Here is a 22949-nt window from a genome sequence, read left to right on the forward strand (position 1 = left end):
ATATACCCCCATGAAAGAACCTCTGTTAAATTTTCAGTAAATTAAAACTTAAACGTCTCCAGATGGGTCCATGAATGACTAAAAAAAATCTTCTAGTGAAAAATAACAAGATCGTCAACAGAAAAAGTGACAAACATAAAGTATATCTAGCCATTATAGAAAATGTAAAAAAAATTATTTGTATTCACATTAGGCCTATTTTAACACACAACACTGTGTAAATGTCCAGATTGACTTTTGTTAGACCATATTGTCAGATTTATTTTAGTAGAAGATGAAGCACACACTTCATAATGGAGTATAAAATTTACCAAAGTTGTAGATAATCCATTCAAATGGAATGTGTCTATATGTGTTTTGGACTACTTAACACTGCAAATGCAACTTCAAATAATTAAATTAAAAACATAAAAATTATTCCCAAAAGTAATATCATGGGCTACTTTACATTTTATTCAATTTAATCTAGCAAAAAATTTTGAATGCCAGATACTGCAAAGAATTCTACAATCACAACTAAGGGGATGGTCACTGACCTTGGAAGAGCTGATAGTCTAGTGAGAAATAAAACAAATATATGAATTAATTATAATATAAAATAAAATAAGATGAACAAAATTGGAAGACTAAGCTATAAGGTCCACTAAGCAGTGGCTATTTTTTTTCATTTCCCCCCTATGTATACAAGTGTTTATTTGTATTATTTTTACAATTTGGGGATTGTGCTGTGTGTTTTGATTCCAGCTTATTTTCATTTTTCATTGTATCATGGACATTGTTTCATATTCTTAACTTGTTCAAAAGTCGTGTTTAATGGCCATAAGGTATTCCATCATATGATAGTAATTTAAATATTCCTCTATTTTTGACCATTTAGATTGTTTACTCACTGCTACAAGCCTCAGAAGAAATAAAAGAGCAAAAATACCCCTAAACATTTATTATTAATGTAAAGTGTGTTCAAACATGTTTTCTACTACATACATTAAGCAAAGTTACTATCAGATCTTATATTATTGTATATAATTTTGTAGATATAATTAAACAGTACTACTCAGATTAAATGGGGAAAAAAAACCCAACACAGGTAGATTTTCTTCTTCTTCTTCTTCTTTTTTTTTTTTTTTGAGACGGAGTCTCGCTCTGTCGCCCAGGCTGGAGTGCAGTGGCGTGATCCCGGCTCACTGCAAGCTCCGCCTCCCAGGTTCACGCCATTCTCCTGCCTCAGCCTCCCGAGTAGCTGGGACTACAGGCGCCCGCCACCACGCCCGGCTAATTTTTTTGTATTTTTAGTAGAGACGGAGTTTCACCGTGTCTCGATCTCCTGATCTCGTCATCTGCCCGCCTTGGCCTCCCAAAGAGCTGGGTTACAGGTGTCAGCCACCGCACCCGGCCGTAGATTTTCTTCTTAACTTGCCTTGCCATTCACATGTATATACCTACCACACATAGATTTTCATAATTGTACCCAAATGCTATAGTTTATTGTGTACTTGCTATTATTTGCTATAAAATATTTCTTTATAATAAACCTATTGTGTTTTGGGGTGGTCTACTATTAAAAGTATAGTTTTTTTGTTTTTTGTTTTTTTTTTTAGACGGAGTCTCGCTTTTGCCAACCACGCTGGAGTGCAGTAGCATGATCTCGGCTCACTGCAACCTCCGCCTCCCAGGTTCAAGTGATTCTCCTGCCTCAGCCTCCCGAATAGCTGGGATTACAGGCACTTGCCACCACACCTGGCTAATTTTTGTATTTTTAGTAGAGACAGGGGTTTCACCATGTTGGCCAGGCTGGTCTTGGACTCCTGACCTCAGGTGATCTGCCCACCTTGGCCTCCCAAAGTATTGGGATTACAGGAGTGAGCCACCATGCCCAGCCAAAAGTATAGATTATCAACAATAAATTTTAATATTGGGAGCTATTCAAAGTGCATTCTGTGTACTTTTTCTGTCTCATACTTTCTACAGTCTCATCCTTTCTATAGTCTCATCATTAATTTTATAAAAATATTTATCTTTGAAATATTTACTTGTGTAATAATGACTTTGTTATTTTAACAAAAGAGTAAGTATTCATGTATTTTGGCCTGTGGTTTTTTTTGTTTGTTTGTTTGTTTGTTTGTTTGTTTTACTGAATAGCTTGTGGCTTGCCATCTTTATTTAACCATCTGGTGAAATGTTTCTCTTCCATACTAAAATGGCTTTATTCTTTACCATTTTACTTGTTAAAACTTTTATTTTAGTATCGGGGTACATGTGTAGGTTTGTTATATAGGTTGTGTGTCACGGGGATTTGGTGTACAGATTATTGGCCACACAGGTAATAAGCATAGTAACTGATAGGTAGCTTTTCCATCTTCACCCTCCTGCCAACCTCAGCCCTCAAGTAGGCCTCAGTGGTTTGCTGCCTTCTTTATGTTCATGTGTACTCAATGTTTAACTCCCATTTATAAGTGAGAACATGTATTCAGTTTTCTGTTCCTGAAATAATTAGCTTAGGCTAATGGCCTCCAGCTCCATCCATGTTGATGCAAGGACATGATCTCATTCCTTTTTATGACTACATGATATTGCATGGTGTATATATACAACATTTTCTTTTTTTTTTTTTAATTTCCAACTTTTAAGTTCAGGGTACATGTGCAGAATGTGCAGGTTTGTTACATAGGTAAACATCTGTCCTGGTGGTTTGCTACACAGATCATCCCATCACCCAAGTATTAAGCCCAGCATCTATTAGCTATTCTTCTTGATGCTCTTCCTCCTCCAACCCAAAGCCCTGCATCAGGCTGGTGTGTGTCATTGTCCCCAGTGTGTCCATGTGTTCTCATCATTTAGCTCCCACTTATAAGTGAGAACATGTGGTATTTAGTTTTCTGTTCCTGCATTAGTTTGCTAAGGATAATCGCTTCCAGCTCCATCCATGTCCCTGCAAAGGACATGATCTTGTTCTGTTTTATGACTGCATAGTATTCCATGGTTTATATGTACCACATTTTATTTGTCCAGTCTATCATTGACAGGCATTTAGGTTGATTCCATGTGTTTGCTATTGTGAATAGTACTGCATTGAATATATGTGTGCATGTATCTTTATAACAGAACCATTTATATTCCTTTGGGTATGTAATCAGTAATGGGATCGCTGGGTCAAATGGTATTTCTGTGTCTAGGTCTTTAAGGAATTGCCACATCATCTTCCACAGTGGTTGAATTTACACTCCCACCAACAATGTAAAAGTGTTCCCTTTTCTCCACAACCTCACCAGCATCTGTTGTTTTTTGATGTTTTAGTAGTAGCCATTCTGACTGGTGTCAGATGGTATTTCATTGGGGTTTTGATTTGCATTTCTCTAATGATAACAGTAATGTTGCACTTTTTTCATGTTTGATGGCCACATGTATGTCTTCTTTTGAGATGTGTCCTTCTGTTCATGTCCTTTGCCCACTTTTTAATGAGGTTCTTTTTTTCTTGTAAATTTGTTTAAGTTCCTTATAAATGCTGGATATTAGACTTTTTTCAGATGGTGATATGGTTTGGCTGTGACCCCACCCAATCTCACATTGTGGGTGGGACCCAGTGAGAGGTAATTGAATCATGGGGGCAGATCTTTCCCGTGCTGTTCTCATGATAGTGAATAAGTCTCATGAGATCTGATGGTTTTAAAAAGGGGAGTTTCCCTACACAAGCTCTCTCTTTTTGTCTGCCATCATCTATGTAAGATGACTTGTTCCTCCTTGCCTTCCCCCATGATTGTGAGCCCTCTCCAACCACATGGAACTGCAAGTCCATTAAACCTCTTTGTTTTGTAAATTGCCCAGTCTCGGGTATGCCTTTATGAGCAATGGGAAAACGGACTAATACAGATGGATAGATTGCAAAAATTTTCTCCCATTCTGTAGGTTGCCTGTTTACTCTGTTGATGGTTCCTTTTGCTGTGAAGAAGCTCTTAATTAGATTCATTTGTCAATTTTTGCTTTTGTTGCAATTGCTTTTGGCATCTTCGTCAAGAAATCTTTGCCTGTGCTTATGTCCTATTGCCTAGGTTTTCTTCTAGGGTTTTTATAGTTTTGGGTTTTACATGTAACTCTTTAATCCATCTTGAGTTGATTTTTGTATATTGTGTAAAGAAGGGGTCCAGCTTCAGTTTTCTGCATACGATTAGCCAGTTCTCCCAGCACCATATAAAACAGGGAATTTTTTCTCCATTGCTTGTTTTTGTCAGGTTCATCAAAGATCAAATTGTTATAGGTGTGTGGTTCTATTTCTGGGTTCTCTATTGTGTTTCATTGTTCTGTGTGTCTGTTTTTCTACCAGTAGCATGCTGTGTTGTTTACTGTAGCCTTGTAGTATAGTTTGAAGTCGAGTAACATTGATGCCTCCAGCCTTGTTCTTTTTGTTTAGGATTGTCTTGGCTATTTGGGCTCTTTTCAGGTTTCATATGAATTTCAAAATAGTATTTTCTAATTCTGTGAAGATTGTCAATAGTAAGTTAATGGGAATAGCATTGAATCTATAAACTGCTTTGGGCAGAATGGCCATTTTAATGATATCAGTTCTTATTAATGAGTCTGGAATGTTTTCCATGTCTTTGTGTCATCTCTGGATTTCTTTGAGCAGTGGTTTGTAGTTCTCATTGAAGAGGTCCTTCACTTCCCTTATTAGCTGTATTCCTAAGTGTTTTATTCTTTTTATGGCAATTGTGAATGGGAGTTCACATTCATAATTTGGCTCTTGGCTTGCCTGTTGTTAGTGTATAGGAATGCTAGTAATTTTTGGGCATTGATTCTGTATCCTGAGACTTTGATGAAGCTGCTTATCAGCTTAAGAATCTTTGGGGCCAAGATGATGGATTTTCTAAATATAAGATTATGTCATCTGCAAACAAAGATAGTTTGACTTCCTCTCTCTTTATTTGAATATGCTTTATTTCTTTGTCTTGCCTGATTGCCCTAGCCAGAACTTCCAGGACTATGTTGAATCAGAGTGATGAGAGAGGGCAACCTTGTCTTGTGCTGGTTTTCAAGGGGAAGGCTTCCAGCTTTTGCCCATTCAGTATGATATTGGCTGTGGGTCTGTCATACATATATGGCTCTTAGTAGCTAGAGGTATGTTCCTTCAGTACCTTGTTTATTGAGCATTTTTAACATGAAGGGATGTTGAATTTTATTGAAGGCTTTTTCTGAATCTATTGAGATAATCATGTGGTTTTTGTTGTTAGTTCTGTTTTTGCCCTGAATCACATATATTGATTTGCATATGTTGAACCAACCTTGCATCCCACGGGTGAAGCCAGCTTGATTATGATCGATAAGCTTTGTGATGTGCTGCTGGACTTGGTTTGCCAGCATTTTATTGAGGATGTTTGCATTGATGTTCATTAAGGATATTGGCCTAAAGTTTTTTGTTGTTGTATCTCTTCCAGGTTTTGGTATCAGGATGATGCTGGCCTCATAGAATGAGTTAGAGAGGAGTCCATCCTTTTTGATTTTTTGGAATAGTTTCAGTAGGAATGGTACCAAGCTCTTCTTTGTAGCACTGGTAGAAATCAGCTGTGAATCCATCTGGTCCTGGGCTTTTTTTGTGGTTAGGCTATTTATTACTGCCTCAATTTCAGAACTCGTTATTAGTCTATTCAGGGATTCAGTTTCTTCCTGGTTCAGTCTTGGGAGGGTGTATGTGTCCAGAAATTTATCCATTTCTTCTGTATTTTCTAGTTAACGTGCATAGAAGTGTTCATAGTATTCTCTAATGGTTGTTTGTATTTCTGGCATCAGTGGTAATATCCTGATTATTTAATATCCCAGTATTTCTGATTGTGTTTATTTGAATCTTCTCTCTTTTTTTCTTTATTAGTGTAGCTAGTGGTTTTGTTTTGTTTTGTTTTTCTTTGAGATGGAGTCTCGCTTTGTCACCCAGGCTGGAGTGCAGTGGCGCGATCTCAGCTCACTGCAACCTCTGCCTCCTGGGTTCAAGCGATTCTCCTGCCTCAGCCTCCCGAGTAGCTGGGATTACAGGCATCCGCCACCATGCCTGGCTAATTTTTGTATTTTTAGTAGAGACGTGGTTTCACCTTGTTGGCCAGGCTGGTCTCAAACTCCTGACCTCAGGTGATCTGCCCACCTCAGCCTCCCAAAGTGCTGGAATTACAGGTGTGAGCCACCACACCTGGCCTGAGCCACCGCGCCTGACCTATTTTATTAATTTTTTCAAAAAACCAGATCCTAGATTTGTTGATGTTTTGAAGGGTTTTTTGTGTTGCTGCGTTTTTCAGTTCATCTTTGATCTTGGTTATTTTTTGTCTTCTCCTAGCTTTGGGGTTTGTTTTCTCTTGGTTTTCTGGTTCTTTTGATGTTCTAGTTCTTGTGATGTTAGCTTGTTAACCTGAGATCTTTCCTAGCTTTTTTACGTGGGCATTTAGTGCTATAAATTTCCTCCTCAACACTGCTTTAGCTGCATCCCAGAGATTGTGGTGCTTTGTATCTTTGTTCTCATTAGTTTCAAAGAACTTCTTGATTTCTGCCTTAATTTCATTATTTACCCAAAAGTCATTCAGAGCAGGTTGTTCAATTTCCATTTAGTTGTATGGTTTTGAGTGATTTTCTTAATCTTGAGTTCTAATTTGATTGCACTGTTTATTATGATTTCAGTACTTTTGCATTTACTGAGGAGTGTTTTACTTCAGATTATGTGATCCATTTTAGAGTATATGCTGTGTGACAATGAGAAGAATGTATATGCTCTTCTATTTGGGTAGAGAGTTCTGTAGATACCTATCAGGTCTGCTTGAGCTGTCACTCAGTCAGGAGAACTGGGATCAGGGTCCCACTTAAAGGAGTAATCTGGCTGCGTTTTGGTGGAGCAGCTGTACTTTACTGAGGACCCCTTTTGTCCCTGATCCATTTGGGCTGCCCAAGGTCCACAGGCTGGACCAGCTGAGAAACCCAAACAGCAAAGGTGGTGGCCTGCTCCACCCACCATGCCCGCTGTCTTAGAGAGAAATTAGAACTCTTGTCAGCTGTAGTACACAGAGGGAGGTGGCTGGAGACCCCAAGTGGGAGGACCCACCCTCGAGGGGGATTTGTAACTCGGGGTCTCATTTAAAGAAGCAGTCTGGCAATGCCTCAACAAAACAGCTGTGCCATGCTGTGGAACCACTTTTGCCCTGGTCAGCTTGGACTCTTCAAAGCCCGCAGGCTGGAACCGCTGAGTCGTCAAAACAACCAAGGTGGTGGCCTGCCCCTCCCGCAAGGCACTCTGTCCGAGGGAGAGACCAGACCTCTGTCCATAGAATATGGGCTGGTAGGGGGAGCTCAGGCCTCTGGTGGGAGGTCCCACTTAGCGAGAAGGAATAGATCGGGGTCCTGCTTGAGGAAGCAGTCTGGCCACATTCTGGCAAAGCAGCTGTGCTGTGCGGCGGGACTCGCTGCTCATCCAGACCGTTTGTACTCTGCAAAGCCCACGGGCTGGAATGGCTGAGTTGTTTAAACTGCAGAGATGGCAGCCCACCTCTCCCCACTGGGGTTCCATCCCCTCTCAGGCAGCCTCCACACTGTTTCCAGCTGCCTGGAATTCCAAGCCACTGGGTCTTATCTTGTGAGGAAATGGGGCCTGTAGAACTGACACTGCTCAGCTCCCTAGATTTAGCCGCCTTCCTAGGGGTATGTATGAACCTCCTGCCTTGCTGGGGATCCCGGGGCCAGAGTATGTAAAGCTCTGGGTCTCTGTGCTGCCTGAGCAACCGCTCTGTTGAGACTCCACAGAGTTCTGTGTGTTGGACCCAAGGCCCTGGTGGCATGGGCTCATGAGGGGATCTCCAGATCTGAGGGTTGCAAAGATCCGTGGTTTCTTAGGGTTGTACATTCGTTCACTGCTTCCCTTAACTGGGGGTGGGGGTTCCCTTGACTACATGTCACTCCCAGTTGGGCCATCACCTCACCATACTTTTCTTCATTCTCCCTGGGTTGAGTTGTTTTCCTGATCAGTCCCAGTGCAAGTACCTGGATATTTCAGTAGAAGGTGCTGTATTTACTCACCCCCCTTTTGTTGCTCTCTGTGAGTGCCACGCACTACAGTTGCTTCTGTTCCACCGTCTTGGCCCCCGATCCCTTGTTTTTTTTTTTTAAGTTATTTATTTTTATTTATTTTTAGAGACAGGATCTTGCCATATCTCCCAGGTTTGAATGCAGTGGCACAATCATAGTTCACTGTATCTTCGAACTCCTGGGCTCAAGGAATCCTTCCACGTCGGCCTGCCAAAGTGCTGGGACTACATGCATGAGCCACCGCAACTGGCCTGTTTCCTTCGTCTAGAAAATGAGGCTCTTAGTAGTTCACTGGCATGGTGTAAGGAGTGAATTATGGAAAATATGTAAAGCACCTACCACAATATGTGGCATATAGTAAGCACAGAATAAGTAACCAATTCCTTCTCTTTTCTTCCTGTTTACACCGCAATTTAGAGTATTAACTGGCCTGTAAAAGATTCTGTAAAGAAAAATGCTGTATCAGTTAGAGCCTTTTAAAAAGTGAAAATATCTTTCGGGGATCTTCCTCCCATCAGGCAAGTTGTTGGACTAGGGTCACTTCTAAGGTTTCATTCCTATGCTGTGATTTTAGGATTCCGAAACAGTGAAAATAACTGGTATGCTTCATTAGGCAGTACAGTGTCAAGTTTAGGATAATTTACTTTGACAGATCATAAAACAGATGTTAAAACATTTATAAACCTCAATGAATTATTTTTTAATTCACAGTCCAATTATCTTAAGATTTTAAGCCATGCTTGTTTTAGATTTCCTTGAATCATAATGATTTTGTTTGCGTATGAAAAGTAATTCCAATTCTGTATCATTATGAGACAAAATATTCAGTGAAACTCAAACTGCTTTTTTTTTATTTTTCAAAGCCTTTTTTTCCTTTTGCATCGACTTTATTTCAGTTCTTCATAAGAATATAAAATATACTCCTTTTCATCAGAACTTTTCTTCCACAGCCACTAAGTTCATATCATATGACTATTTGGTGGGTAACAATATTAGCAAATATGTTTATGATATCCATTCTTTATTTAACCTTACTCTTAATAAATGGAGAAAATTATGAAATCAAGGTACTTCCCACAAGGAATTCTTAAAGGGCTTTATACCAATAACTTTTGTCTTGTGACTTCTGTTTTCTTTGCCTAGAAGGAATGGAAGAAATGAGAGGAAACTGATCTCATTTGTTTTACTCTCTCAGTGGCTAGTTATTATTTCCCTGCAGCCTGAACATTGGTTTTGTTACAGAGCTTTGTGGACTGCCTTCTTGTTTCATGCATAGACTATGCCAACCTTGGATCGCAGTGGAGGGCAGAAGCTATTTAGAAGCACCCAACAGTGTGGCTTTTATTCTGATTGTTTTCAAATGTGCTTAGTTGGCTCAAATCAGGCTTCCCAGAACAGAATCTTAGGGTGGGGTTTAGAATTAGAGCAGCATTTCTCCAGAAAGATTTACGCTGTCAACCTTTTATAAATTAGGACTCTCACTGGGCTTGCTCTAATTCTTTAAAACATTTGTATTCCAATTGCTTTCATCTTTGGTTGAGCTGTCTGGATCAGATGTGGCCGTTCTCTCTGATTTTGCTTCTGATACACACTTAGGGCCTGTGCAGTTTCTCTCCTTTACCCTTAAGGGGCAGACTTGACTAAAATTCAAAGATATCTGTGTTTTCTATTGCTGCCAAAATACCCAAATACCGTTCCAAAATACCCAAAACTTAAAGGGTACACCCCCAACTTAAAGCAACACAGATTTAATGTCTTACAGTTCTGTAGGTTTAGAGTCCAACACACATATCAATGGTCTAAAATCAAGGTGTCAACAGAGCCGCATTCCTTTCTGGAGAATTCTCTAGGGGACTATCTGTTTCCTAGCCCCATCTAACTTCTTGCGGCCTCTCACATTTTTTGGTTCATGGCTCTTCTTCTGTCTTCAAAGCCACAGAAATTGCATCTCGCGCATCTCGCTGACCCTTCTTCTATAGTCACAGCATCTGCTCAATGACCACAGCTAGGGGAAGTTCACCAATTTTAAAGGCATGTGATTAGGTTGGGCCCATCTGGGTAATCCAGGCTACTATTCCCATCTCAAGGTTTTTAATTACACCTGCAAAGTCCCTTTTGCCATGTAAGGTAACATATTCGTAGTTCGAAGGATTAGGACATGGACATTTTGGGGACAATTATTCTGCATATCACAATCCCTTTCTCTTTTCCTTAGTAGACCACACTAGTCTGGTGACTTGAAGGAACCTAGCCATTTCTCTTCTACCTCACCACAGTGGGCCCAGGATATAGTCATTTTAAAAACATAAAACCCAGTGTATCAGGCTCCAGGCCAGGGCTTCTCAGCTGACTGTTTCTATTGGTGTAACAGACTGGATTTTGGCTGTCTCTCCCTCTACTTTCCTCCAGCAGTCTTTGGTCTTGTTTTGAGATGTTTTCCCTCCTGTGGTCCTCAGTCTGCCAGTGTTCTTCCTATAACTTTATCTCTGTGTGTCAGGATATACACTGTACTCTATAGAAATGGCAGTGGAACCCCAACAATTGTGGGTGTTTGGGTAATAATCCACAACCTTATCATTCCCAACACCCTTCCCATTGTAGCTTTCCTCTATAAAGAGAAGTTTGGAGCTCCTAAAACCAGATCTGAAATTTATTTATTCAATTAATCATTCAAATGTGCAAGATGTGGGGAGAATTGGATATAGAGATATGGCTCCTGCCCTCAAGAAATTAATAGTCAAACAGGGAGAAGGACATGAAATACAAGCATTGCTGTATGTGGGATGGATGTCTGTATATACAGTTGGTCCTCTGTATGTATCCCTGTGTTCTTCATCTGTGGGTTCAACCAACCACAGATCAAAAAAATTGGGGGCTAGGCGTGGTGGCTCATGTCTGTAATCCTAGCACTTTGGGAGGCCAAGGCAAGTGGATCACCTGAGGTCAGGAGTTCGAGACCAGTCTGACCAATACGGTGAAACCCCATCTACTAAAAATATAAAAATTAGCCGGGCATGGCAGCATGCACCTGTAGTCCCAGCTACTCAGGAGGCTGAGGCAGGAGAATTGCTTGAACCCGGGAGGTGGAGGTTGCAGTGAGCCAAGATTGTGCCACTGCACTCCAGCCTGGGTGACAGAGTGAGACTCTCTCTCTTAAAAAAAAAAAAAAAAAAGAAAAGAAATTAGAAAAAAAAATTGTACTGAACATGTACAGACTTTTTTTTTATTGTCATTGTTTCCTAGGCAACACAGTGTAACAATCATTTACATCATATTATGTATTGTAAATAATCTAGAGATGACTTAAAGTATATGGGAGGATATACATAGATTATATGCAAATATTACACTATTTTATAAAAGGGACTTGAGCATCTTCAGATTTTGGTATCTATGGAAGGTTCTCAAGCCAATCCTTTATGGATACCAAGGGTTGACATATGTGTATATTTATATATGTGTGTTAGTTATCTGTTATAATGGGAGCACAGGAAAGATAAGCCCTTAAATTTCCCTCAGGGATTCAGGGAAAGTTGTCCAGAGGCAGCTAGGGTTGAGCAGCAGATGTCATGACACTACTAACCAGATAAGTCTTCTCCTTTCACTCAGGCCTTATGGAATAAGCTATGCTTGTGGAATTTTTTATGTGGAAAAGAATTACATGAAACAATCTGCATTGCTCTTCTCACTGTTTTTAGAGGGAATCAGTAGGAATCAGAATACTGGCTGACTCTTTAGGTATGTGGGCTTATATGAATTTTTTAGCTCTTTAATCCTTAGTTTTTCCATTAGTAGTACCCAACTTGCTGAATTGTGAGGTTTGAATGAATTATTAAAGTTAAGCTTTTAGAATGGGACCTACTACCCAGAAAATATTTAACAATATTATTGTAATGTATCACTGTCACCATTTATTACTACAATCTCTCTTGAATTACTCATCACTTTTCTGACATCATCATATGAAACAAGTTTTTTAATTCATGCCAGCTTCTCCCTCTTACTTACGGTTTAGGAGTTGCCTCTAATGCCTAAGGAAACGTGTAGCCCTCTGGTTGTACTGCAAAAGTGGTTGCATTTTGAAGGCAGGTGTATACAACTTCCAGAGTAAGAATATGTGTATTCAGGTGTAGGCGTTGTCAGTTTCCAATAAGATAATTTATAATGCTTAATTTATATTAGGAAGATCTCACATTGTTCTCTTCTGTAAATTATGCATGTATTTGTAAATCTAAAAGGAACTTTGATTTTTCTCTCTGATTAAGGTGTATAATTATAATCTTAAATAAAAGTGAAGTTCAAAGTAGCTTCATTTAAAATATTAATAGACAAAACATAAGATCAGTTCTTTTAGGGATTGGTTTGTCAGCCACATGTTAGATCTGCTTAGAAATCTTCAGTGAAATAGGAAACATTGTATAAATGTTACCTAATGTAAATACTGCTAAATTTAAGATATACTAAAATTTGAGTATTTTCCCTTTAGTCTCAAATAAGCAAAAGGAAATCTGAGTTATATGAAAATGAAAGCATGTATTCAGCTTTTATAAAACCATTATAAATAAGTTATTTTTCCTACCAAGTTAAATAGGATATGTTTACATGTTTTAAATTTTAGTTTTATTAGTTACAGTATCATATTGTGAATAGTAGCAAATATGTCCTTATATAGTTCTGGGTTCTTGCTTTATAATGTACATAGACAAATATCTTTTTAAAAAAATTTTTGTGTTCCACAGACGCAACAGGTTTTGATAATTTCTTATTTCACCTGTTGGTTACAGTCACAATAATATGTTCTTTCTTCTACCTTATGATTGACCATTTCTGACATAAAAGTTAAGAATTTGTATCATCTAAACAGCCTTTTATGTCCTTTCTCTTTTTTCATACATCTTGATAATTGTAGTGTTTTTCATGTTTGCTTCTATTTTCTATCTTTCCGAGTTTGCAAAACATTATTAAAACTTCATTTCTAGTTCTTCACTAATAGGACCCAAATCTAAGTCTCTCAACTTCAGGCTCTACTTAAGTATCCAGAGTTCACAATTCAGCGACCGTTTCCAGGGTGGAGGCCTGTAGAAGAATCAGTCCTATTTTTACAAAAACAGAGAAATTTGTGCTCCTAATATTTGCATAGTCATAAAATTGCAAAAGTTATATTGGTTTTACAATTTTAAATTGATAGGCAATTATGATTTTTGCAAATGACATTCTAATAAAAATTATCAACATTTGGTTATGGTAGCGATGGTGAAGAAACACAGTGAAAGCAAATATTTTCTTATGTCACTTATACATGTACAACAATGGCCATATTTCTGAAATGTAAATGAAAGTATAATGCCTTCTTCGATTTTTATTTTGACCACTGAGTAAATTAAACCTTCAATAATCTCATAAAAATGAGATATTTTCTTGCTATACCTCTGATATCCCCTGTCCCCTGAAAAAATATGAAATTAGTACAGAGCCAGTAAAAAATACCAAGAACACCCAGGATAGATTCTATCCTAACCTAAACAAGCTTATATTATGAAAGTGGTGTTATTTTTTAACAGATCATAAATTAGACAATATAGTTCATCTAGGGCCGATAACTTCTCCCCATGCAGCTGTTGTCACTCTTGGGAGGTGCTTCCTAGAATGTGTGCTGAGAAGGATGCTATAATTAGTGATGTCTGCCTTGGGTACAGAATATCAGTAGTGGTTAGGAGCAGTACACATTTTCCATCCTTAAGTATCTGGATGGGAAGAGATCTAGAGAACAGAATATCATATGTCTCCTGACTCATAACTTGGGATCTTTCCTCAATTCTACTGAATAACCTGTAGTGGAAAACCATGTTTCTATAGTCCTATCCCTCGTCCAGGTGGATTATCTGAACAGGACTCCTGTGGAATGGTTGTGGTAATGTAATTCATGTGGACATTGACAAGTTGCCATCATGTGGTCATGAGGATGGTGTTGGATTCCTTATGTGTGAGGCTGATAAGGGCCCTATGTTCAATTCTTAGTGGTCCTTTTAAACCTACACCTGTTTATATTTTTTATCAACATGCCCATAACTTATTTTTCGTGAATCCACTGAAACTTCCAGAGACTTGAACTTTGCCTAAAGTTTAAAACAGGAATTTTTTAAATCCCTTAAATGAAAAATAGTTTTAAGTGTATCCCAACTAATATGAAACAGGAAACTAATGTCTAATATCCTTGGGAACTATAAAATATTCAATAGTAATCAAAACATAAAATGATTCTCTTCTGTCTTTCCGTTATTCTCTACTTCCAATTACATTTTGTAAAATGTAAACAATTGCACCTGCAATTGATGGAAAAATACCATCATGAAATCAAATGTGTTTTCTGACTTCATATATGTATTGTAGTATTTAATATTAAGTAAGCTCAGAAGATACTTACATGGAATCTACTGCCTTTTCTGAGCACAAGAGAAGCAATGATTAATAGAATGTGGTACTTGCTCCAAGGAGCATTCATTTAAGAGGAGGGATGCTCCTATTTGGGTCTTCACTGTATAAAGCATTTATATGTATATTACTTAACAACTAAAAGGTATGTACTTATGCAGAATACTGCCATCATTGCTCTTTTCTTTACTGTAATGGTACCATTCATCAGGTCCATGGAAGCCAGCTTCTCACACATTCTCTCTTAGACATAGGCGTTTTCTTTCTTTCTTTTCTTTTTTTTTTTTTTTTTGGTGACGGAGTCGCACTTTGTTGCCCAGGCTGGAGTGCAATGGCACAATCTCGGCTCACTGCAACCTCTACCTCCCAGGTTCAAGTGATTCTCCTGCCTCAGCCTCCCGAGTAGCTGGGATTACAGGCGCGCACCACTACGCCTGGCTAATTTTTGTATTTTTAGTAGAGACAGGGTTTCACCATGTTGGTCAGGCTGGTCTCGAACTCCTGACCTCGTGATCCACCCGCCTCGGCCTCCCAAAGTGCTGGGATTACAGGCATGAGCCCCCACACCTGGCAGACGTGTGTTTTCTAAAGTGGATTTATTAGAAATTGGGATCCCCTTAACCATCTTTACTTAGAGGAGACTTTGGCTTAGTGACCTACAGTTGTGTGTAAATGAAAAGCAAAATTAATGGGAAGTATACTCACAAAAGAAGGACTTTAAAGTTGCAAAAATAGCATGCATCAAGAATAGTATAAAATTTTAATTCCTCCATCGTCACCAATAAACATTTATGGAGAATCCCCAGAGTGACTGACTCTGGATTTTACATCTTATGTTAAACTAACTCTTGCATTCTGTTCTTGCTGTTTTATAATTACCCCAAATGTTCTCTGTTACTTCTCCTAATGATTCTTCTTTTTTTTTCTTTTTTCTTTTTTTTTTTTTTTTTGCATACAGCAGAGAATGCCTGTGGGTTTAAAAATTTTTTAACTAATCTTGATGAATCAATTATAATTTATAAAAGTGGAGCATAACAGTTAAGAGCTCATGCTATGGAATTGGACAGAGCTGATTTCAGATACTGTTCTGCCACATGCAAAGTGCATAACTGGACTAGTCACTTACCTTTCTGAACCTCAGTTTCCTCATCTCTGAAGGGGATGATGAAGGTTCAGCCCTCTCATAGGGCTCATGACAATTAATGAGATAATGTCACATGCTTAATACCAGCATCTTGTATGCTCCATAGGTGTTAGCTGTCTGTTTGTAATAATATTTTTGTGTTTGGTTACACAAACCCACTTTCTTCATTTGTTTTCTGCTATTAATGCCTTTTGAAGTATTGTGTTGTTTGTGAACACATAGTACAAATTGACTTTTGTTTTTTTAATTATCAATTTTGTTTCTGTAACTGCACAGAAAAGTGATAAATTGTGAGCTTATATTTTCTTTTAATACATAGATATCGCCTCCCAACATACATGAATTTTAAGACACTAAAAACCCCTTAAAGATCTTTTCTTAATCAGTGTTTAGTAAATGGGCTTACATTCTAGCGTATAGACCAATTCAAACTGTTCTACAGTAGAGAGGAATTTGTATGTTGGCCAGTTTTTCATACAGTGATTTCTAACTCTTTCCCCTTCAGTATTTCCCTAACATACACTTTCTCATCCAGTATTTCTTTTAGAATTCTCACACTTTTGCCCTCATAACTCACTTTCATATTCCTAGAGCTCTTTTCTTCACACTGATTGTGCTGCTCCTTTTCAATTTTTCCAACCTTATGGAATTATTAGTGAGAAAAAGCAAAATTATTATTATTTGAGACGGAATCTCGCTCTGTTGCCCAGGCTGGCGTGCAGTGGCGCCATCTTGGCTCACTGCAAGCTCCGCCCCCCGGGTTCACGCCATTCTCCTGTCTCAGCCTCCGGAGTAGCTGGGACTACAGGCGCCCGCCACTACGGCCGGCTAATTTTTTGTATTTTTAGTAGAGACGGGGTTTCACCGTGTTAGCCAGGGTGGTCTCGATCTCCTGACCTCGTGATCCACCTGCCTCGGCCTCCCAAAGTGCTGGGATTACAGGCGTGAGCCACCGTGCCCGGCCCAAAATTATTTTTTATATATGGTGACTTTCCCCCACCCTTTCATCTTACAGTAGAGGCAGCTCAGAAAAAAATCACTGAATTAAGTCATTCAGAGGTCGTTTATAATAGCTATTCAGCAGTGAGCTGGTTCTCAGTCCTGGTTATCCATTACAATTTCCCAGCATTTAAAATTCTGATACCGTGACCATACCCAAGAATAATTAAATAAGACTTTCTGTAGGTGGGACCTAGGCATCTGTTTTTAAAGCCCTTCAGGTGATCTTAATGGGCAGCTAAGTATGAGAGCTACTATAGGACAGTGTTGTATGGCCTGATTAGGTAGGAATGAGAGGGAGAGGAAGAAATCAGGACAGGAGATGTAGACTTATTTTGATAAGTTTTGGTAGTGAAAGGCAGAAAAGAGATGGGACTGTAACTTAAGGAATTAGCAGGAAACACAACATACCTGAGAAAGAACATTCTAGCATATATATATATATTAGCATATATAGTAGTGAGTCTCAGCTACTCCCCTAGGGCAGTGTATCAGCAATTTAGGAACCAGGGATGAACATGCATTTGGCAAAACTTCCTAATTTTGATACACCTTTCCCTTTCTCACTACCCTCCCTTCTCTCTTCTCTCCCCAGCCCCTGTCTACAATACTGCTATCCTGCTCCCTCTGCTCCTCGTCCTTTTCTTTCTTAAACTGGGTGACAGAGCATCTCAAAGTTGACTTCCCTCATGGTGGCCATATGGCTCCAGCAGTTCTCAGCAAGAGTTCTGAATTCACCCTGATTAGACCATTAAGGTCGTATTTCAACTAGTAACTGAGGCTGGGGGAATGGAATATGCTCATTTGTGAAGTCAATCAAGAAAGTACATAGGAAGATGGGAAAGGATGCTGGTAGACAGCCAGTACTACCCACTATATATGTAAAAGTCACAGTGATTCAATGCAATCAGTTATTTTACATGTGCAAATTATGAGTGGTCTTGTATGGGGACGGTTTTGAATAACATATAGAAAGTACTATATAGTACTGATATTTTTCTGAGCATCAAATATTTAGAGAAAAAAATCTGTGGTGTTTTAGAATATAATATAATAAACATCAAATAATTTACTAGATCAAACATGGTTTATTAACTTAAACACTGTAGCATATAGCAGTCTGTAGCACATCTTACTGACTGATCCTTTTTTGAAAAAATCATTACTTCACATTGTTGATGTTGTGGCAGAATCTAGGACTTCTATAATTACATTTCTGGAGATTATCAGGCAAATGTGTGGCTTTTACCTTTTCTGGTTACTATTTTATAGAAAAATGTAATTGCTAGGTATGTCATTTAAGACCCTGCAATCTATTTGTCTGAAAAATGGAACAAATGCTAGTAAGAATTTTAAATGACTCTCAAAGCCTCCTGCAAAATGACATTAGCAGTTGAAATAAAATAGTTAACAGTCTAAAAACTGTTTAAGATAAAGCCCATAACTATTAATTTTAGGACTGTTTTGTATACAATGTAAATGACACATGTTTGAGTTAATCCATTTGATGGTGGTGATCACATTCTTAAGAAATGATTTGGTATCTCAAAGCAGTTTCTTAACTAGACAATGAGCAGAAAACCTGTTGCTAGTTTTGGAAGTTTAAATTGTCAAACTTCAATTACTTCTGTTTAATTTGGGATTAAAGTTTGGGATTAAAAACACATGAGCAAAAATCTCATAACCCCAGTTCAGTCATGAGAGAAACACCAGACAAATTTCAGTTGAGGGATATTCTACAGAATATATGTCCAGTACTCCTCAAAACTGTCCAAGTCATCAAAAAACAACAAAAGTCTGAGAAACTGTCGCAGCCAAGGGATACTAAGGAAACAAGAGGACTGAATGTAATTTGGATTCTGGATGGGATCCCAGAGTGGAAAAAGGACATTAGAGCAAAACCGAGGAAATCTCAATACAGGTTGGGCTTTAGTTAATGTGTCAATACTGGTTCATTAATTGTGACAAATACACTATATTAGTGTAGGATGTTAATAATATTAACAATGGTGGAAACCGGTTGTGGGATATATGGGAAAACTGTGTACTGTTTTCATAGTTTTTATCTAAATTTTAAAATACCTCAAAATAAAACGTTATTTTTAAAGATGTGGGGATACATTTTTCAGGAAAGAGTCTCCGCCATAAGCTTACTATAGCAGAGCCTGAATGCTACTGTTTGATGAATGAAAGAAGTCCGGTATTCTTGGAGATCTTCTCTGTAATCCTCCAGGCTGAGGCATCACTTAGATTTGGCATTTGAGACCTTTATTGTTGACCTATGAAATTCTGTTTTATGTCTGTCTCTCACTTTGTTTCACCATAGTATAGTATAGGTTATAGGAGCAAGAAAACTGATTTTTCTTTCAAGATCCACTGTATGCCAATCATGTACTGGATTTCACTAAAATTAACACATCCAATTTTTAGAAACTTTGTAGGATAGAGGACTACCCTTTCTACAAAAGAGGAAAACAGACTAAGAAGAGTAAGTTACTTGGCCAGGCACAGTGGCTCACACCTGTAATCCCAGCACTTTGGGAGGCCGAGGTAGGTAGATCACTTGAGGTCAGTAGTTCGAGACCAGCCTGGGCAATATGGTGAAACTCCATCTCTACTAAAAATACAAAAGTTAGCAGGGCATTGTGGCTTGTGTCTGTAATCCCAGAGAATTGCTTGAACCCAGGAGGCAGAAGTTGCTGTGAGCTGAGATCGCACCACTGGACTCCAGCTTGGGCAACAGAGCGAGACTCAGTCTCAAAAGAAAAGAAAAAAAAAGAGTAAGTAACTTGCCCAGAGTCACACAGATGTTTACTGACAGACTACATGAGAGCCTTGTTTATTACTTGACTCCAATTTCCAGCCTTTCTACCTTCTCATATATATGCCTTCTTTGTTATCGTAAGATTCAGATTAGCAAGGTACTCTTTTTAACCTGTGCCTATGTTTTAAAAAAAAATTGTTTAAGTTTGACATAAGTATAAGCCAGCAGGAAGTTGCAAAAACAGTACAGATGCTCCCCAACTTATGATGGGGTTACCTTCCAGTAGACTCATTATTGAAAGTATCGTAGGTCAAAAATACATTTAATACACCTAACCTGTAACTTAGCCTTGTATGCTTTAAGTGTGGTCATTAGCCTACAGTTGGGCAAAATCATCTAACACAAAGCCTATTTTATAATGAAGTGTTGAATATTTCATGTAATTTATTGAATACTGGAAGTGAAAAACAGAATGGTTGTATGAGTAAAGTACGGTTTCTACTGAATACATTTTGCTTTTGCACCATTGTAAAATCAAAAAATTTTTAAGTTGAACATTTCTTAATTTGGGGACTGTATTAGTTCATTCTCACAATGTTATAACAACATACCTGAGACTGGGTAATTTATAAAGGAAAGAGGTTTAATTGACTCACAATCCCACAAGGCTGGGAAGGTCTCAGGAAACTTGCAGTCTTTTGCATTTCACCATGAAAGAGTTCGTCCAACTTTTTAGGTTTTTATTACAAAATAAATAGTGTTTTCTCTGCCCTCTCTGTACCTCGTATTTGAGGAATTCTCATACTTCTCTTTCAAGATGTCTTTCCCCACCCATTTTGTTTATGGTGGTAATATTATACCAATATGGCCAGCTTTTATGTACTTTGTGATCTCGCTACTATGAAGTTAGCCCCCTTCAGCATTTATTCAGAATAATGCCTCTTAAAAAAGTGTTTAATGATTTCATAAGGTCCTTGGTGTTTCTTAATGTCTTCCTTTCTCTTTTTTCCCTCCCCTTTTCCCCTCCCCTTTTCTCCCCTCCCTTCTCCCCTCCCCTCCCTCCCTTCCTTCCTTCCTTTCATTTTTTCTCTGTGACCATCTGTATGTTCTTTTCTTTTTGTCTGCCTTTTAGTATTAAAATGGTCACCTGACGACCATCTGAGTTGAGCTTTGTCAAGAACCAAGGGCTGAAGTTCTTTTTGTTCAGACTATGTTTCTGTTACCAGTATTGAGGGACTAAGGACTTTCAAGCCCTTCTCATTCTCCCAGCCTGAGAGATATTAAGATAAGGGAAAACTAGATTTTGCAGGTAAACTTTGATTTGTTGAATGCCTGCTTTGTGCCAGACATTGCATGCTACGATATATTCTATTAAAAGGATTCAGGAAGGGCATTTACTCTTTTAGCTACTGGAGTTTGATTTTCTTTATTATCATGCTGATCAGTGTACACTGGCAGTGTGGCTGATTGAGTGGAAAAGGGAGAGCTACACTGTCTTGTCACTCACCTAGTTGATAACAGATTCAGGACAAGGACTCTCGTCTCCTTTCTAATACAATATTAGCCCTAAACCCAAAGAAGTTGAGATGTTTTGTCATTCTTTAGTTTTTCCCAAAGGGAACATTTTTCACAACATAAAAAGTTAGCTGATTGGAATTAACTTATACTTTATAAGAGATCAGTGCATATCTAGAGGCGACATAGTAGAATTTTCAAACAATCAGAAATCTCATAAATCGGAATCTAAGGGAAAACAAATATACCCTCCTGAACGTTGTATAATTGGGTATACAGAAAACTTTCTAATTTTATTTTGCCTTCATTTTTAGACTAACTTGCAATTACCCCAAGTTGCTAGGTAGCAAAATTATTATGGTACTAGCTCAGAATTTGCTGTATTTTAATCAGCCTTAGTGACTGAAAACACAGAGAGAATGTCAATGAGGGAGAAAGGTTTTCCTTTACTGCCCCTAGATAAAGCAGATGAAAATCTGTTTCTCTCCACGGTAGATTCCTACTCCTTGCCAAAGATACAATAGACAACATTTATAAAAATACAATCTTTGTGCATGTTGCTAGGTTGCTCAATTTTGAGCCTTTTTCTTTACAATACATAATCATTTAAAAAATACTGAAAGAGGTAAGAAATAGGGAGTGGAAACCAGTAGTGTGAGTAAATGGGAAATTGATATCTTTAAGGCACTAGATATGGTAATAAATATATTAGATTACTAGAAGAGAAAAAATACTTGAATAGTAGCCAAGAAAGGATTCCAATTACTTACAAACTACAGTGACTAACTTCTTTCAATTCTAAAATCCCCTATTTTAATTTTTCTAAGTTTCTGAGAAATGGGCATTTTAGTATTACTCCTTAAAAACTTTTTTACTGAATAAAATAATTTTCATGAAATTACAAAAACATAGGATCTGCTCATATTGATAGTGTGTTTGACTTACCACTCACTGTATTGTGTCTCACTTAGATTACCAGCAAAAATATTACTCACATCTAATGATATTTCTGGGTATCCTATAAATGAACCCTGAGAGGTTTCCTGGAGAGTCTTGTAATGCTTCCTAGCTACCCCTGTATATATTCTATAAAATATAGCCATGTAAAGTATGAAGACAATCTGTTACTGTCTTCCTGGCAGGGCTGGTCAACTGGCCATCAGACACTGTGGTTGCATCTGGTTGTCCCCTGCTTCCTACTGCTCCATTGTCCCACTTTGGGTGTCTCCCCCTCCTCCCTGTGCTGGTGCTGCCCTTTCATAGGCCTTCTCTCAATAACTGGATCTCACCAGGCTCCTTTCTGCATTCCTAGCTTTGTACTTGCTGTGTGACCTGGCAGGAGTGCTTCTCCTGGGTTCTTTGCAGATCTGGTTTCTCCTTCTCAAATGACACCACCTTAGAAAGCCCTTTCCTGAGCATACTGTGCAACTCAGAGCTCCCTGTTAGTCTCTATCACAGACCCCTTACTTACTTCCTTTTTAGCACTCCTCAAACACCTTCCCCCAACTAAAACATAAAACTCTATGAGGATAGGGACATTGTGGACACTCACATATTAATAAGTGATTGAAACATGAATGCATTTTTAAAAAGATCAGTACCAACATCCTAAAGGCTCGTGGAGAAGGGCATTTGAGCTGACTTTGAAAAGTAGAATGTGAAGATAGCAGGGTGTAGGAAAACAAGAGTTTTAGAAGAGAGAGGCTTGTGTCAAGGTGATCTTATAAAAAAAAAAAAGCTTTGGTATGAAGGCAGGCATGTGCATGTCTTTACTGGGCTTTGTGGAGAAAATAGAGATAAAGAATAAACTTTGGGGAACCAGGAAAACCTTTTATCTAGGAAAGGGACATGATCAAAATGGCACCAGTGTGGCATCTAGTGGATGAGTTGAAGGTTCAGGAATTGCTAAGAAGTAAAAGCATCCACACCCTACTTCCTGTCTTGCTGACATATATATATATTTGGCCTCATCAGTAGCAAAGCTCATTAATACTCCAGGATGATACAGAATAGAAATACAAACTGGAATTGTTTGTTTAATCTATATTT

General features: G+C 38.3%; 1 protein-coding gene across 19 annotated transcripts in view; it reads left to right on the top strand.

The window, feature by feature from the left end:
* Nucleotides 1-22949, top strand: part of BCKDHB (branched chain keto acid dehydrogenase E1 subunit beta) — a 360067-nt gene that overhangs the window by 200876 nt on the left and 136242 nt on the right. The window contains exon 10 of one of the 19 annotated variants that reach the window (XM_005248756.6): nt 1-22949. This exon is cut by the window's right edge and continues 12206 nt beyond it. The exons of the other annotated variants lie outside the window; for them this stretch is intronic. Within the exon in view, the coding sequence (XP_005248813.1) occupies nt 1-45 (45 nt within the window). The 3' untranslated portion in view covers nt 46-22949. 19 annotated transcript variants of the gene reach the window in all.

The sequence above is a fragment of the Homo sapiens genome, chromosome 6 (assembly GCF_000001405.40).
Source record: "Homo sapiens chromosome 6, GRCh38.p14 Primary Assembly".
Classification (NCBI taxonomy): domain Eukaryota; kingdom Metazoa; phylum Chordata; class Mammalia; order Primates; family Hominidae; genus Homo; species Homo sapiens.